Source organism: Homo sapiens, chromosome 8 (genome assembly GCF_000001405.40).
Source record: "Homo sapiens chromosome 8, GRCh38.p14 Primary Assembly".
NCBI lineage: Eukaryota > Metazoa > Chordata > Mammalia > Primates > Hominidae > Homo > Homo sapiens.
Genome location: NC_000008.11, coordinates 39580293 through 39596170, shown reverse-complemented (window position 1 = coordinate 39596170; position 15878 = coordinate 39580293). Strand labels below are relative to the sequence as shown.

At 37.5% G+C, this 15878-nt stretch overlaps 1 protein-coding gene across 4 annotated transcripts in view, besides 1 other annotated feature; it reads right to left on the bottom strand.

Annotated features, from left to right (window-relative positions):
• Window positions 1–11603, bottom strand: part of ADAM18 (ADAM metallopeptidase domain 18) — a 145498-nt gene extending 133895 nt beyond the window's left edge. For all 4 annotated transcript variants that reach the window (NR_135201.2, NM_014237.3, NM_001320313.2 and 1 more), the window contains exons 1-2: window positions 11494–11603; window positions 10819–10895 (exon numbers count right to left, since the gene is read on the bottom strand). Coding sequence is in view for 3 of the 4 variants with exons in the window: in NM_014237.3 (NP_055052.1) it covers window positions 10819–10895; window positions 11494–11548 (132 nt within the window). In the remaining variant the exon portion in view is untranslated. The remainder of the gene's footprint in view (window positions 1–10818; window positions 10896–11493) is intronic.
• Window positions 10938–11437: an enhancer, noted in NCBI's record as "H3K4me1 hESC enhancer chr8:39442253-39442752 (GRCh37/hg19 assembly coordinates)". NCBI's record gives its function as "activates a minimal SCP1, AML or CMV promoter by ChIP-STARR-seq in primed H9 embryonic stem cells {active_cell/tissue: H9 hESC(primed)}" and the evidence as "EXISTENCE:reporter gene assay evidence [ECO:0000049][PMID:30033119]".
• Window positions 11604–15878: the final 4275 nt, after the last annotated feature.

Below are 15878 nucleotides of genomic sequence, written 5' to 3'. Positions count from 1 at the left end.
GAAACAAACATCTGAGATCTGATAGTCAGCGAGGCCGCACATCCATAAGGACAGTGGTAAGCTGAAAGATTCTGTACTTTCTTCTCATCTTTTCTCTGAACCTAATATTGCTCTAAAAAAACACCACACACACAGTTTATTTTAGAAATTCTTGAAATTAAAAATGGATAAGATCAGATTTCTGGTTCCAGCCAAAATGGAATAGCCTCATTCTTCCAAGTTCTTCCCTCTTAAAGCTAAGAAATCCTGGGAATATAATTGAAAAATAAAAATAAAAAATTTTGGAGAAATGGAAACAAGAAGGCAGACTAACCAGTGATATAAGGACTTGAGCAATAACTAGTTCAGGCCGGGCATGGTGGCTCACTCCTGCAATCCCAGCACTTTGGGAGGCCGAGGTGGGTGGATCACTTGAGGTCAAGAGTTTGAAACCAGCCTGGCCAACATGGTGAAACCCCATCTCCACTAAAAATACAAAAAAATTAGCCAGGTATGGTGGTGTGCACCTCTAATCCCAGCTATTTGGGAGGCTGAGGCAGGAGAATCTCTTGAAACCTCTGAGGCAGAGGTTACAGTGAGCTGAGATCATGCCACTGTACTCCAGCCTGGAGTGAATTTCCAGAGTGAATCTCCTGGAGTGAATCCAGCCAGAGTGAATCTCCATCTCAAAATAAACAAATAAATACATATTTAAAAAAATAAAAATAAAAAATAAAAACAGTTCACTGGTTTTCTTTTGACTCCCATGCTTGTAAATGGTTTGCTGGAGAAGACAGCAACCTGGAACTACCAACAGGCACAGTGTCAACAGGGTCCAGTGTAGAGCTGAGATTGCAGTCCCTCCTTGTAGTGATGAAGCACCACCTCCATGGCAGTGAAAGTCAGCCCTGTGCTTCACCTATTCAGGATTCCAGTTAGGTACAATGAATAACACATGAAAACAAAGTTACCAAAATAAAAATCTAAGTGGAAGGGCTCAACCACAGCATGGGGTTAGGGGAGAAAATACTGAAATGGGAGACAGAATAATAGAAATTATCCAATCTGAAAATTGAGGAAACTTACAAAAAATGTAGAGAGGAAATGATAAAAAATGCACAGAGCTTCAGGGACCTAGGGTACTATAACAAAAATTCTACCAGAAAATGACAAAAAATGCACAGAGCTTCGGGGACCTAGGGTACTATAACAAAAATTCTACCAGTGTCATTAGAATCCCAAATAGAGACGGAGGCTACAGTTGAAAAGGTACTCACAAGAAATAGCGGGTGAAAATTTACCAAATTTGACAAAATCATAAACCTATTGATTTAAGAAGCTAGAAACTATTGAGACTACAAAGGAAACAATTACCAAAAAAAAAAAAAAAAAAAAAAACTCACAGCAAAATGCATCATAGTTCAATTTCTGAAAACTAAAGGAAATTTTTAAAATCTTGAAAGTAATGAAAGAAATGACAACTTACCCATTAGGGAAAAAAAAACAAATGACAGCAAATTTCTCATAAGAAGACATGAAGATCAAAGGAAATGTCGTAACATAAATACGATGAAAAAAAAGACCCATAAATCTAGAATTCTATGAAAATCCACTTTAAAATATCCTTCATAAATGAAGAGATAATCAAGACATTCTCAGATCAGGAAACTAAGAGAATTTGTCTCATACAAACCTACACTAAGAAAACGACTAAATAAATTTCTCTAAACAAAAAAGGAAAAATAAAAGAGGAAGGATTGAAACACCCAGAATGAACAAAAAACATAGAGGGGAAAGTATGGGTAATTACAAAAGTTTACCTTTTCATATTGAGTTTTCCAAATTAATTTGAAGATTGAGGCAAAAATTATTACACTTATTTCTTTGTGTTCCTTTACTTTAGCCCATTTATAATTGCCTTAAATATTTCCTCAACATATATTTAGAAACACATTAAGGTTTAAATAGTTTGCTTAACCTGGTGAAATGATGACAGTAGGCTGTGAAAAGTTACGTACATGTAATGTAATATCTAAAGTAACCACTAAAAGAGCTCTACAAGTATATATTCTTGAACCAACCCCACAGCAAAAAACTATGTTATTCTGGTAATTTATACATAAGCATGAAAAAGAAAATAAAAATTAAAAGCAAAACAAAAAATTACTTGGTAGATGTAACACCAATGGTGACGTTAAATATAAATGATATGAATAGGCAAAATTACAGATTGACTGGATTTAAAAATTGACAAAGCTATATTCTGTTAAAAATAATTTCACATCAAAGACAATTGCCTAGGCTGGCTGAAAGCAATAATATTGAAGAAAACTTATCATGTAAACATAAATCAAAGGAAAGTAGAAATTGTTATATTAGTATCAAATAATGCAAAGATATTTATCAGAGAATGAGAAAGGCATTATATAATGATAAAGGGTATCAATCCAGCAAGATGTAATAATCCTAAATGGGTATGCCCCAAAAGACAGAACTGCAAAATATAAGAAGCAAAACCTGACAGAAGATAGTCTTTCGACTATCCTTCCCCATTGTATCCTTTTGGTGAACTTGTGGAAAATCTGTTGACTGTATATGTTTGGATTCATTTCTGGGCTCTCTGTTCTCTTCTATTGGTCTACATGTCTGATTTTTTTTTTATGACAAAACCATACTGTTTTGAATATTATGTTTTTTAAATATAATTTTAAATCAGGAAGTATGATGCCTCTAACTTTTTTCCTCAGTATTGCTTTGGCTACTCGAGGTTATTTTGTGGTTCCACACAAAATTTAGCATTGTATTTTGTATTTCTGTGACGAATGCCATTGGAATTTTGATTGGGATTGCACTGAATCTGCCTATTGCTTTGGGTAGTATGGACATTTTAGCAACATTACTCAAGAATAAAAATCAATGGCCCCATAACATAAAAGCAAACAAGCTATTGCTGATATGGAGAAGGTTTCATCGTCTGGATAGACAATCAAACCAGCCGTAACATTCCCTTAAGCTAAAGCTTAATCTGGAAAAAAGTCCTAACTTTCTTCATTTCTATGAAGACTGAAAATGAAAAGAAAGTGAAGAAGAAAAGAGTGAAGCTAACAGAGGTTGGTTCATGAGATTTAAGAAGATATCTCCATAACAAAAATGCAAGGTGATGCAGCAAGTCCCAATACAGAAGCTGAAACAAGTGATCTGTAAGATCTAGCTAAGATAATTGATGAAGACCGCTCTACTAAACAACAGATTTTCAGTGTAGATAAAACAGCCTTCTACTGGAAGAATACACCATCTAGGACTCAGCTAGAGACTTTCATAGCTAGAGAGGGGAAATCCATGCATAGCACTTTTTAAATTGTTATTTTAGATTCAGGGGTACACGTGCTTGATTGTTACATGGGAATTACATGCATGATGCTGGGGGTTGGGCTTCTAGTGTACCCATCACTCAAATATTGGACATTGTTCCCAGTAGGTATTCTGTCCCCATCCCCCATTTTGGAGTCCCCAGAGTCTATTTTCTTCATCATTTTATGTCCAACTGTACCATTTATTTAGCTCCCACTTATAAATGAGAACATGTAATATTTTATTTTTTTACTTCTGGGTTATTCCACATAGGATAATGGCCTCCAGTTCCTCCATGTTGCTAGAGCAGACATGATTTCATTCTTTTTTATGGCTGCATAATATTCCATGGTGTATATATACCACCTTTTATTTATCCAGTGAACTGTTGGTGGACATTTAGATTGGTTCCATGACTTTGTTATGGTGAATAGTGCTGCAATAAACATACAAGTGCAGGTGTCTTTTTAAAATGATCTATATTCCTTTTTTTATCAATGTAAAATGGGTATTTAGATACCAGTTAGTGAAATTGCTGGGTCAAACATCAAAAAACTAAAAATAGAACTATCATTCTACCCAATCTTAATGTCTAGCTTTAAAAGACGAGCTGACTCTCTTGTTAATGCTTATTACAGCTGGTGACTTTAAATTGAAGCTGATACTCAGTGACCGTTCTAACAATGCTAGGGCCCTTAAGAATTATGCTAAATGTACTTATGCCTGTGATGAGAAATGTAACAACAAAGTCTGGATGATAGTATAACTATAATATGGTTTACTAAATATTTGAAGCTGACTGTTGAGACCTACTGCTCAGAAAAAAAGATTATTTTCAAAATATTACTGCTCATTGACAATGTACCTGGTCACCTAGGAGCTCTAACGGAGATGTGCAAGGAAATTAAGGCTGTTTTCCTGCCTGCGAACACAGCGTCCATTCTGCAGCCCAGTCAAGGAGCTATTTTGACTTTCAAGTCTTATTACTTAAGAAATACATTTTGTAAGGCTATAGCTGCCATAAATAGTGATTCCTCTGTTGGATCTGGGCAAAGTCTATTGAAAAAGTATGAAAAGAATTCACCATTCTACATGTCATTAAGACAATTCACGATTCATGGAAAGAGGTTAAGATATCAACACTAACAGGAATTCAGAAAAAGTTAATTACAGCTCTCATGAATGACTTTGAGGGATTCAAGAATTTAGTGGAGAAAATAACTACAGATGTGGTAGAAATGGCAAGAGAACTAGAATTAGGAGTGGAGGCTGAAGATATGACTGAAATTTTGCTATCTCATAATAAAACTTGAATCGATGAGGAGTTACTTCTCACGGGTGAGCAAAGAAGTTGGTTTCCTGAGATGGAATCTACTCCTAGTAAAGATGCTGTGAATACTGTTAAAATTACAAAAAAAGAGTTTACAAAATTACATAAACTTAGTTGATAAAGCAGTGGCAGGGTTGGAGAAGATTGAGTCCAATTTTAAAATAAGTTCTACTGTGGGTAAAATGCTATCAAACAGCATTGCATACTATAGAGAAATCTTTCATGAAAGGAAGAGTCAACCGACACAGCAAACTTCATCATTGTCTTATTTTAAGAAATTGGCACAGCCACCCCAACCTTCAACCACCACCCTGATCAGTCAGCAGCCATCAACATCAGACAAGGCCTGATTGTAACCAGCAAAAGATTACAACTCACTGAAAATTCAGATGATAGTTACAATTTTTTAGTAATAAAGTGTTTTAAATTAAGGTTTATACAATGTTATTTTTAGCCATAGCACTATTGCACACTTAATAAACTATAGTATATAGTATACCAAACATAAGTTTGGTATGCACTGGGATACCAGTTTGTGTGACTTACTTTAGTTTGGTAGTCTAGAACCAAACCTGCAATATCTCCAAGACATGCCTGGAACTTTCAGTTTTGAACAATAATAAGCAAAAGTATTATAAGTCAAAATAAACAGGAAAATAACCAGAAGGAATCATGAGAGAGTTTGTGACTTGCTCTTATGTTCTATTTCTGAATCGAGTGCTAATTTTGGAGGTGTGTCTACTTTGTGAAAATTCATTGAGATATATGTATTATTTATCAATGTAAAATGTTATTTTAGTTTAAAAAAGAAAATCTAGAAAAAATTTATTTTGGAAATTAAAGGCAAAATGTCCTCTTCCCAAAATACTTGAGCCAAAAGGAATGATAGCATTCATTTTATTTTTTTTATTTTATTTTATTTTTTATTACACTTTAAGTTTTAGGGTACATGTGCACATTGTGCAGGTTAGTTACATATGTATACATGTGCCATGCTGGTGCGCTGCACCCACTAACTTGTCATCTAGCATTAGGTAGATCTCCCAATGCTATCCCTCCCCTCTCCCCTCACCCGACAACAGTCCCCAGAGTGTGATGTTGCCCTTCCTGTGTCCATGTGATCTCATTGCTCAATTCCCACCTATGAGTGAGAATATGCGGTGTTTGGTTTTTTGTTCTTGCGATAGTTTACTGAGAATGATGATTTCCAATTTCATCCATGTCCCCACAAAGGACATGAACTCATCATTTTTTATGGCTGCATAGTATTCCATGGTGTATATGTGCCACATTTTCTTAATCCAGTCTATCATTGTTGGACATTCGGGTTGGTTCCAAGTCTTTGCTATTGTGAATAATGCCACAATAAACATACGTGTGCATGTGTCTTTATAGCAGCATGATTTATAGTCCTTTGGGTATATACCCAGTAATGGGATGGCTGGGTCAAATGGTATTTCTAGTTCTAGATCCCTGAGGAATTGCCACACTGACTTCCACAATGGTTGAACTAGTTTACAGTCCCACCAACAGTGTAAAAGTGCTCCTATTTCTCCACATCCTCTCCAGCACCTGTTGTTTCCTGACTTTTTAATGACTGCCATTCTAACTGGTGTGAGATGGTATCTCATTGTGGTTTTGATTTGCATTTCTCTGATGGCCAGTGATGATGAGCATTTTTTCATGTGTATTTTGGCTGCATAAATGGCATTCATTTTAAAATATTGAAAAATGAATAAAAAGTGTAGAATATGACTCAGGAGTACTTAAAATGAAAGTTTAAAATTTTTAAACATGTTACAAAATTAGTAATTAAAAATTATTTCTAATAAAAATATTAATAATAAATATATACATACATACACCCATGTTGGTGTATATATTTATATATATATTTCTTCATGTGTGTACACAATCATTGACATGTTTGTGTGTGTAAAATACGCATGTCAAGGAAGATATACATACATCTTGATATACATAACATACACATAATCATACATAATTTATACACAATATGTACTTACATATATTCTTATATTCTCTATATTAATAGCTATAAACAACAGTCATTTGGAATAGATACTCTGCATAGATGGTTCTTCTCAACCTTACCATGACAACTTAATTCATTATGAAGTATATATATATATGTCTTGTGCAGACATTTATGATTCCAATGCTTGCTTCTGGCTATAGTCTGAGTAAGATATAATGTGCCTAACATAAATTAATCACATAAAGAATAAGAAAGGGGAAAGCAGCCAGTAACATTAAGGAGTTGGCTTGGCACTATCAGCTAGACTTGGAATTCTGCTGTTGAATATAAGCACTTTAAAAGGACATCAACGTAACACAGGACCACTGTGAGACAATTATGCATCAAGACAAAACCAAGACTACTTCATAATCATGTGTGAACACCAACTAAATGTAAGCCCTCCCAAGCCAAAAAAACAGAAAGATTGAATATGCCCTTATTGGGCTAGCATGAATGGCTGCTGCTTCTTAACTAATGACAGATTTAGGAATGTTCTGGTCTTCCCGTGCCCTAGATAAGACTTACTAAGATACACAATCATAGTATTATGCCTACTTCCTGACCATATCTAAACCAGAACAAAGGCACGCATCCTAAAACTTCCCCCAAATTCCCAAAACACAAGCCAAAATCTTATAAGTACTTTAACAACCTCCTAAAGAGATGCTCCATGGCTCCCCAAGGTGTGCATTCTCCCTCACTGCAGTGTGTAATAATCCTCACTTGTTCAATTGCAGGCGTGCTTGCAATGGTCTTTGGCAAGAAGGCATTGATAGCAGGAAATAAACACATCCCAACTGAGGTCAGCTCTCCCCAACTGGAGAGTTGTTTCCCAGTGTTGAACCAACAATGGCACTATGGCTTCCATATGTATACTTAGATAAAACAGAAAGTTTGAAACCTTCTTCATAGTTCCTGTAATATCCTAAAATTTAAGCCATTGTTTTATGGAATAGAAGAATATATTTCAAATGATCTATATGACAAAGAGCTAATATCCAAAATGTCAAAAGGACCTTCTACAACTCAACAGCCAAAAACAAAACAAAACAAATAACCTGATTAAACAATGGGCAAAGGACCTGAATAAACTTCTGTCCAAAGAAAACATACAAATGACCATCAGGTATAAGAAATAGTACTCAATATCATTAATCATCAGAAAAATGCAGGATCAAAACCACAGTGAAATATCACCTCACAGCTATTATAATGGGTTTTGTTAAAAAAAAAAAAAAAAACCCACACCCACAAACAAAAGCAAAAGGTGACAAGCACTGGCAAAGATGTGGAGAAGTTGGAATCTTTGTACACTATTGGTGGGAATGGAGAATGGTGCAGCCATTATGAAAACCAGTATGGAGGTTCCACAAAAAATTAAAAATAGAACTACCATATAATCCAGCAATGCAACTTCTGGCTACATATCCAAAAAAATTAAAGCCATGAAATTGAAGAGATATCTGCAGCCCCATGTTAATTCCAACATTATTCACAATATTCGTGGTTTGGAAGCAACCCAAATGTTCAATGACATGAATGCATAAAGAAAATGTGGCATATAAACATATTGGAACACTATTTAGCTTCAAAAAAGAAGGAAATCCTATTTGAGACGTGAATGAACCCACAGAACATTATGTTATGTTAAATGAGACAGTCACAGAAGGACAAACACTATATGATTCCACTTACTTATATGAGGAATCTAAAATAGCTAAAATAGGTGGGTGTGGTGGCTAACGCCTGTAATGCCAGCACTTTGGGAGGCCGAGTCTGGTGTATCACTTGAGTTCAGGAGTTCAAGACCAGCTTGGCCAACATGGGGAAACTCCATCTCTACTAAAAAAATACAAAATTATCCAGGTGTGGTGGCATGCACCTGTAATCCCAGCCACTCAGGAGGGTGAAGAACAAGAATTGCTTGAGCCCAGGAGGCAGAGGTTTCAGTGAGCCAAGATCACACCACTGCACTCCAGCCTGGGCAACAGAGCAAAACTCCATCTCAAACAAATAAATAAAATAAAACAGTGGAAATCATAAAAGCAGAGAATAGAATAGTGGTTGCCAGGGGTCTGGGTCGAGAGAAATAGGGAATTATTGCTCAATGAATACAAAGTTCCAGTAATGAAAGATGAATAAGTTCTAGAGATATGCTGTATAACATAGTACCTATAGTTAACGATACACCATTGTGCACTTGAAAATATGTTAAGAGAATCATTCTCATGTTCAGCATTCTTAGCACAAAACACAAAACAAAAGTATGCAAGGACATTTTTGGAGGTGATGGATATGTTTAGTACATCGACTGTGGTCATGATATCATGGGTGTATGCATATATTCAAACTCAGGAAAATGTCTACGTTAGATATGTGCAATTTTTATATCAATTATAACTCAATAAAGTTTTAAAAACATGAAAATAATACCCTATACAATAAAATATAGCTTCAAGAATTCCATATAAATAATACCAAAAGTGTAGACAACGAATGAATACTGCATGTCTCTCATAGTAAAACTATTTCATCAAGCCCTGCGTAGTTGCTATATGCTTCTTGACAAGTAGTAAGAAATTTGAAGTTTACAGTGATTATGCAATGACAATGTACAATAGTAGTAAATCTGGGGAAAAAACAGAATAGATGATAGATAGATAGATATAGATAGATAGATAGATAGATAGATAGATAGATAGATAGATAGATAGTTTTTTGTTTGTTTGTTTTTTGTTTTTAAGAGATGAAGTCTTGCTCTGTCATCCAGGCTGGAGTACAGTGACACAATCACAGCTGACTGCAGCCTCCAACCGCTGGGCTCAAGGGGTACTCCCACCTCAGCCTCCAGAACAGCTGGGACTACAGGCACACACCACCACACCCAGTTAAGTTATTTTTGTAGAGATGGGGTCTCACCAACTTGCCCAAGCCAGCCTCAAACTCCTAGGCTCAAGCGATCCTCCAACCTTGGGATCCCAAAGTGTTGGGATGGGATTGTGTTGGCAGAAAATAACTTATGCAAATAATTCTTCAACAGAAAGCAGCTTACTGTAGTGGAAATGGAGTTAAAAATTAAAGATTAGACTCTACATGCTAACACAGATTTGATGCCATTAATATTTTTTAATCCTCTGTCTTTTAAAAAGAATATATGTAATAAATAATCCTATTTCAGAAGGATAATGTGATAAATAAGATTTATATATGAAAATCCTTTCCAACTTCTCTAAAAGAAAGTATTCATTTTATTGTGATTCCCAAACATAATTTGACATATACTTTATTATAATTGTTCACTAGTAGAACATAGCCATGGTAGGTCCCAATATTGTGTGCCAAAATAGAATTAATAGATTAATCTTTTCCTTACTCATAATTTTAAAATCACTCTTTCAACCTGAAACATTTTCAGAGTTGACATATATTGTGCCCATTTTGACTGCATAGAAATATAAACCCCTATATTGTGACTTCCAGTTTGTAAAATAAAACATTTTAAATCTGTCAATTTCAGGTGTTTCAATCAAGAAAACATGCAAGACTGAATGCCTTCAGTTTAATCAGTTTTTAATCTAGCAGGCAGGTTAGTAATTTTCCAACTTCTTTTTCCAGTTAATATTTACTTATTGTAATATTTTTCATCATAATAGGGCAAATGTGATATTTTTATTTTTTCTTTGCTTTTTTAAAATTTCTTTGTACATTACGTGCTATTAAGACTGATGCTTGTGGGTCAAATTTTGCATGTCTAAATTTTACTTATGACAAATTTCTACATCATTTACTGGACAATAAAAAATTTGTTAATTTGTTGGCTGAACCATGGTCATGAATATTTTATATTGATTTCTTTTTCCCACCAGTTTGATTGCTGAGCATTTCTTGGAAATTGTGAACAAGTAGTATGTTAAGAAGAGATGAAGAGAAAAGACAGGGAAATAAGCAGCAGAAATGGGGGAACAAGAGGATCAAAACACGGTAGGAGACAAAATAGCACAGGCAAAATATTATGATTTGGCAATGAATACAAATTAGTATGATCTGACTTAATATAAGGGTAAATAAAAATTGCCATAAAGCTTTAAATATAGAATAAATATTCCTCATCATTTACCTTCCTCTCTGAAACTTCACTGTCATTTGACTTAATCTTCCGTGGAACTGTGACATGCAGAAATATTCCTTCAGAACCTGCAGTAAGAAAATGTGTTTGTTTTTGTCTTTGTTTTGCATCAACAATCGTCTCAGTCAAGCACGGGTTCTTATCCCGGACTGCATGGTGGCGCCTAAAATTTTAAGTAGAAGTTCTCTCATGTGCTCACACTCTTTCTAGTCCACAAATTTCACTACATAATCAACAGCACATTGAAAATGGCTAAGACACAAAAAAAGAAAAAAAAATTAGACATTGCAGTTCTACAGGCCCCTCTGGTTCCCTTTTAGAATCGATGAGAGACTTGCTTCCTCAGGACTCTGAGGAGTTCGCTGAAGGCAGTTAGTACTCCACCACCTCCACCCTCCTTCACAGAGTGGGAAGATGCCAGAAGACGCACTGCGTGTGGGCCACTGAGACCATGGGCGCTGATGCAGAGCGCTAACAGGTCCTCCGCTAAGGCCTTTAGTTCCCCCTGGCCTGGCGTGGAAAGGTGTCCCTGACACACCAGAAGCACCAGCATGGGATCCCAGAAGGGAGAGGGGGAGGGTCCCAGAATGACAAGAAACTGCTCCCAGTAAGAGCCCAGCCCAGCTATAAAGTCGAAGAAGAAAGGGGAGGCTCCCATGGACTTACCTTCGTGGGCTTGCAGTCTTCCAAGCTCAGTGAGGAGGGCGAGGAGAAGGAACATGGCTCAGCCAGAGCGCAGGAGCCACAGCCAAGGACAGAGACCGTTGAGCAGCGTTGAGCTCGCGGGCAGGCTCTCGGCCACCGGGCGCCTGGGCCAGGGAGGACCCTGTGCTGCCCCAGGACCCTGGGGGTGAGGTCTGAGGAGCTCTGAGAGCTGGGCCACTTCCGCAGGGCGGGGAGGGGAAATGCCAGATGCAAGCATAGGTGTTTGCACAAAATTTGTTGCAGAGACGTTTAAGTTGTTTAAAGCCCTCAGTAGTTACATTGGGGTAAATAAGCTAGATTTTCCTTTTTAGTGAGGTTTTCTTTAGTGAGGTTGGTAATTTTGTTTCTCCATATCACAGTTTTATGGCAGGTTTTATTTACTAAGGTGGAGGAGAAAGAGGAAAAGGGAAATAACAGCTATTATTATTAGCTATTATTACTAGCAATTTTCTACATGCTACTGCTGACTTAAATATCTTTGCAAATACGGAAAAATCAAGAAAATTGAACTTTTTAATGCTGGTACGATTTCACCGTTATTCATGATAACCAAGATATGGAATCAACCTAAGTGTCAATGAGGAATGAGTAAATAAAGAAAATGTGGTAAATATACACAGTGGAATAGTATACAGCCTTAACGAAGGAAATTCATTTGCAACAACAGGGATGGAACCAGAGAACGTTATGCTAAGGGAAATATGCCAGGCACAGAAAGACAAATACTGTATGATCTCATTTGAATGTGGAATCTAATAAAGTCTATCTTATAGAAGGATGATTACTAGAGGCCAGGGAAGGTGGGATGAGGGATGGGGAAAGGGAAAATGTTGATCTAAAGGTACAAAATATGAGTCAGACTGAAAGAATAAGTTTTAATGATCTCTTGCACTACATGGTGATCACAGTTAATAATAATGCATATTTCAAAATTGCTAAAATTTATTTTCAATGTTCTCACCACAAAGAAAAGATAAATTGATGAGGAGATGGGTATATTAACTAGCTTGACTGAAGCATTCTATAATGTATAGATAGATCAAAACATCACGCTGTACCCTATAAATACACAAAATTATTTGAAATAAATTTGCAGAAAAGAAAATGGAGTTGATCCCACTAAGACCATCAAAAAGCACATTTCTTCAACAGTGTATTTTTCTCATAAAACTATATTATAATCAGTGGAGGAAAGAGAAAGGAAAGCTTTAATATTTAGTGTTATTTTTGCAAATAAAGAGAATTCAAGAAAATGGAACTTTATCTTGAAAAGACAATCAGAAAGCACTTTACTTCAACTGTGTACCTTGCTTACTACACAAGATTATAATATAGTGTTCTAAGGGAAAAGAAAACCTTTACAATGCAATCTGACTGTTTTGTTAACAGTGACTCTAAGCTCTAAGTAAGAAACTGTGGAGACAGGAAGGGCAGCAAGGCAAGGGGAGAGAGAAAAATTGAGACCACTGTAGAAGACTATGCAACTGCCTCCCTTAACTTTTTGACAAATATCTTAAATGGCACATGTCCAAAACCCAACCCATCTATCACACTCAAGCCTTTTACTCCAGTACCCCCTATTTCAGGGATGAATTGTGTCAAAATATGTGTGCAAAAATTGTGTGCAAAATTGTGTGCAAAAATAAAACTGATCAGGGCCGGGAGTGGTGGCTCATGCCTGTAATCCCAGCACTTTGGGAGACCAAGATGGGTGGATCACCTGAGGTCAGGAGTTCGAGACCAGCCTGGCCAACATGGTGAAACTCCATCTCTACTAAAAATATAAAATTACCCTGGTGTGGTGGTGGGCGCCTGTAATCCCAGGTACTTGGAAGGCTGAGGCAGGAGAATTGCTTGAACCCCAAAGGCAGAGGTTGCAGTGAGCCAAGATCGTGCCATTGCACTCCAGCGTGGGCAACAAGAGCAAAACTCCATCTCAAAAAATAAAAAACAAATAAAATAAATAAGACTGATCAGGACTAAAACTTGGATCTGCTAAGTGCTGGTACGCCTGAACAGATAGCTCAAAAATTATTATTGACAAGAAGCAGGCCATTGAGCACAATGACCCAAAATAAGTTAGTGGCAATGAAGATGAGAGAAATCTGGTAGAATTATCCCAGGTTATATTTTCTGGTAAATTTATCCCAGGTTGTATTTTTAAACAGCTTTATTGAGATATAATTCATATGCCATGCAATTTACCCATTTAAAGCATACAATTAAGTGATTTTTAATATGTTCTCAGATATGTGTGAACATCACTATAGTCAATTTGAAATTAGTTTCATCACATCATGAAGAAACTCTGTGCCCATTAGCCATAAAGTATCCTCCCACCCCCAAAACAAGTTCTTTATCCCACCCCTCTACTCCCTAAACAACCACTAAACTAATTTCTATCTTAAGAGATGTCTCTATTCTGGACTTTTCATACAAATGAATATGTTATAGGAGGCAGAAAGAAATTATTTAGGTAGACAGGGTAAAGTGAGTCCCTGGCAGAAATCTTTCCTTTTAACAAAAAGCAGCTCAAAAATACCTCCCTTTCTAACCTCAGGCAGTTCAAAGAAATCACTTCTCTTCTAACAACAAGCAGGCTGAAAGTTCAGGCTGTAAATCACACATCAACAGCTTGGACACAGAAAGAAGGGGAAGGTCTCCTGGGTAATCACCAGACTTCACACTTACACAATGGGCCCCAGTAAAACAGAGGGCTTTAATAAGCACATTCCTTTCCCTTTAGGCACACTGAGATAGGGAAGCCAAAAGCAGACTTGTGGGGGCAGGGGGATGCCTGCGGATGCAGGAAGATGTCTGGGAACAGACACAGAAACTCTCCCTCCCAGATAAGCAGAACAAAGTTACACAGACTGAGATTCTGCCTATGTGGGCAGGGAATGGGATGAGAACTGACAAAAACTCTGCACCATACAGATAACACACCTGTTCTCAATCAAACCATCTGGCCCTAGGAGGATAAGACATCCCCTCCTCACGAGCCCCGTCCTCACTAGCCCATTTATAAAAACCCTGACAACTTGGCAACCCGCTTGGGACCCCTCTCTGAGACAGAGAGCTGTTCTTCCCTTTTGTCTATTAAACTCCTGCTCCAAATTCCCTCTGTGTGTGTGTGTGTGTGTGTGTGTGTGTGTGTGTCTGTGTGTTTGTCTGTGTGTGTGTGTCCACGACCTCCATCTCCTTGGCCATGAGACCGAGAACCTTGGTACTTACCCCAGACAATGAGGCTTCTTCAAATACACATGTAAATATCTGATGTTTGTGACTGGCTTTATTCACTTAGCATAATGGTTTCAAGGACCAATCATGTTGTACCAGTGTCAGTGCTTCATTCCTTTTTAGGGCTGAATAATATTCCATTGTTTGGATATACCACATTTTGTTTACCCATTTTTCAGTTGATGGATATTTGGAATAGGAAACTCTGGACCTCTGTGGTGAGGTTCCTCCACCCCTGTCTAAGGAGCATCTTGGTTTGTGATGAAGACTCTGTAGGTCCTAATTGGACTCCAGGTGGGCTGATGGATCCCTAACCCATGTGTAATGCTCTGCGATATGTAGAAGTGCCCCCATCTTAGCAAGAGACGGATGGGAGGGGAGACCGAGGCAAGAAAATCTTACCCAGAAATGCCCAACTTCAGGGAAGATAGAGCAGCAAGTTTGAGTTTTCTCAAAGGACAGAGAAATCTTCCAGATCAGTTTATACAGGGCCAACGAAGCATACGTACCTGATGGTACTATGACCTCAAACTCAGTTTGAGCAATTTCTTTAAAGTAGAAGGGATACTAGTGACTATCTGGGGGCTATGAGAGTGAATATCTATCAATTCTTCCAGTCGGTATCCTAATGCCTGGAACAGAGAGGGCAGGGGAATCATGAACTATTGGAGGTGTGGCTATTGGTGTCCTCTCTTGAGACGGGAGCAGTTGTGGGCATCTGAAGAATCTGAAAGTTTTCAGTTTAGGATGTAACAGGTGTCAGGCCTCTGAGCCCAAACCTGGACGTATACATCCAGATGGCCTGAGGCAACTGAAGAACCACAGAAGAAGTGAAAATGGCTGGTTCCTGCCTTAACTGATGACATTCCACCATTGTGATTTGTTCCTGCCCCACCCTAACTGATCAATTGACCTTGTGAAATTCTTTCTCTTGGACAATGAATATCAGAAGCTCCCCACCGAGCACCTTGTAGCCTCTGCCCTTGCCTGCAAGAGAAAAACCCCCTTTGACTGTTATTTTCCACTACCTACCCAAATCCTATAAAACTGCCCCACCCCATCTCCCTTTGCTGACGCCTTTTTCAGACTCAGCCTGCCTGCACCCA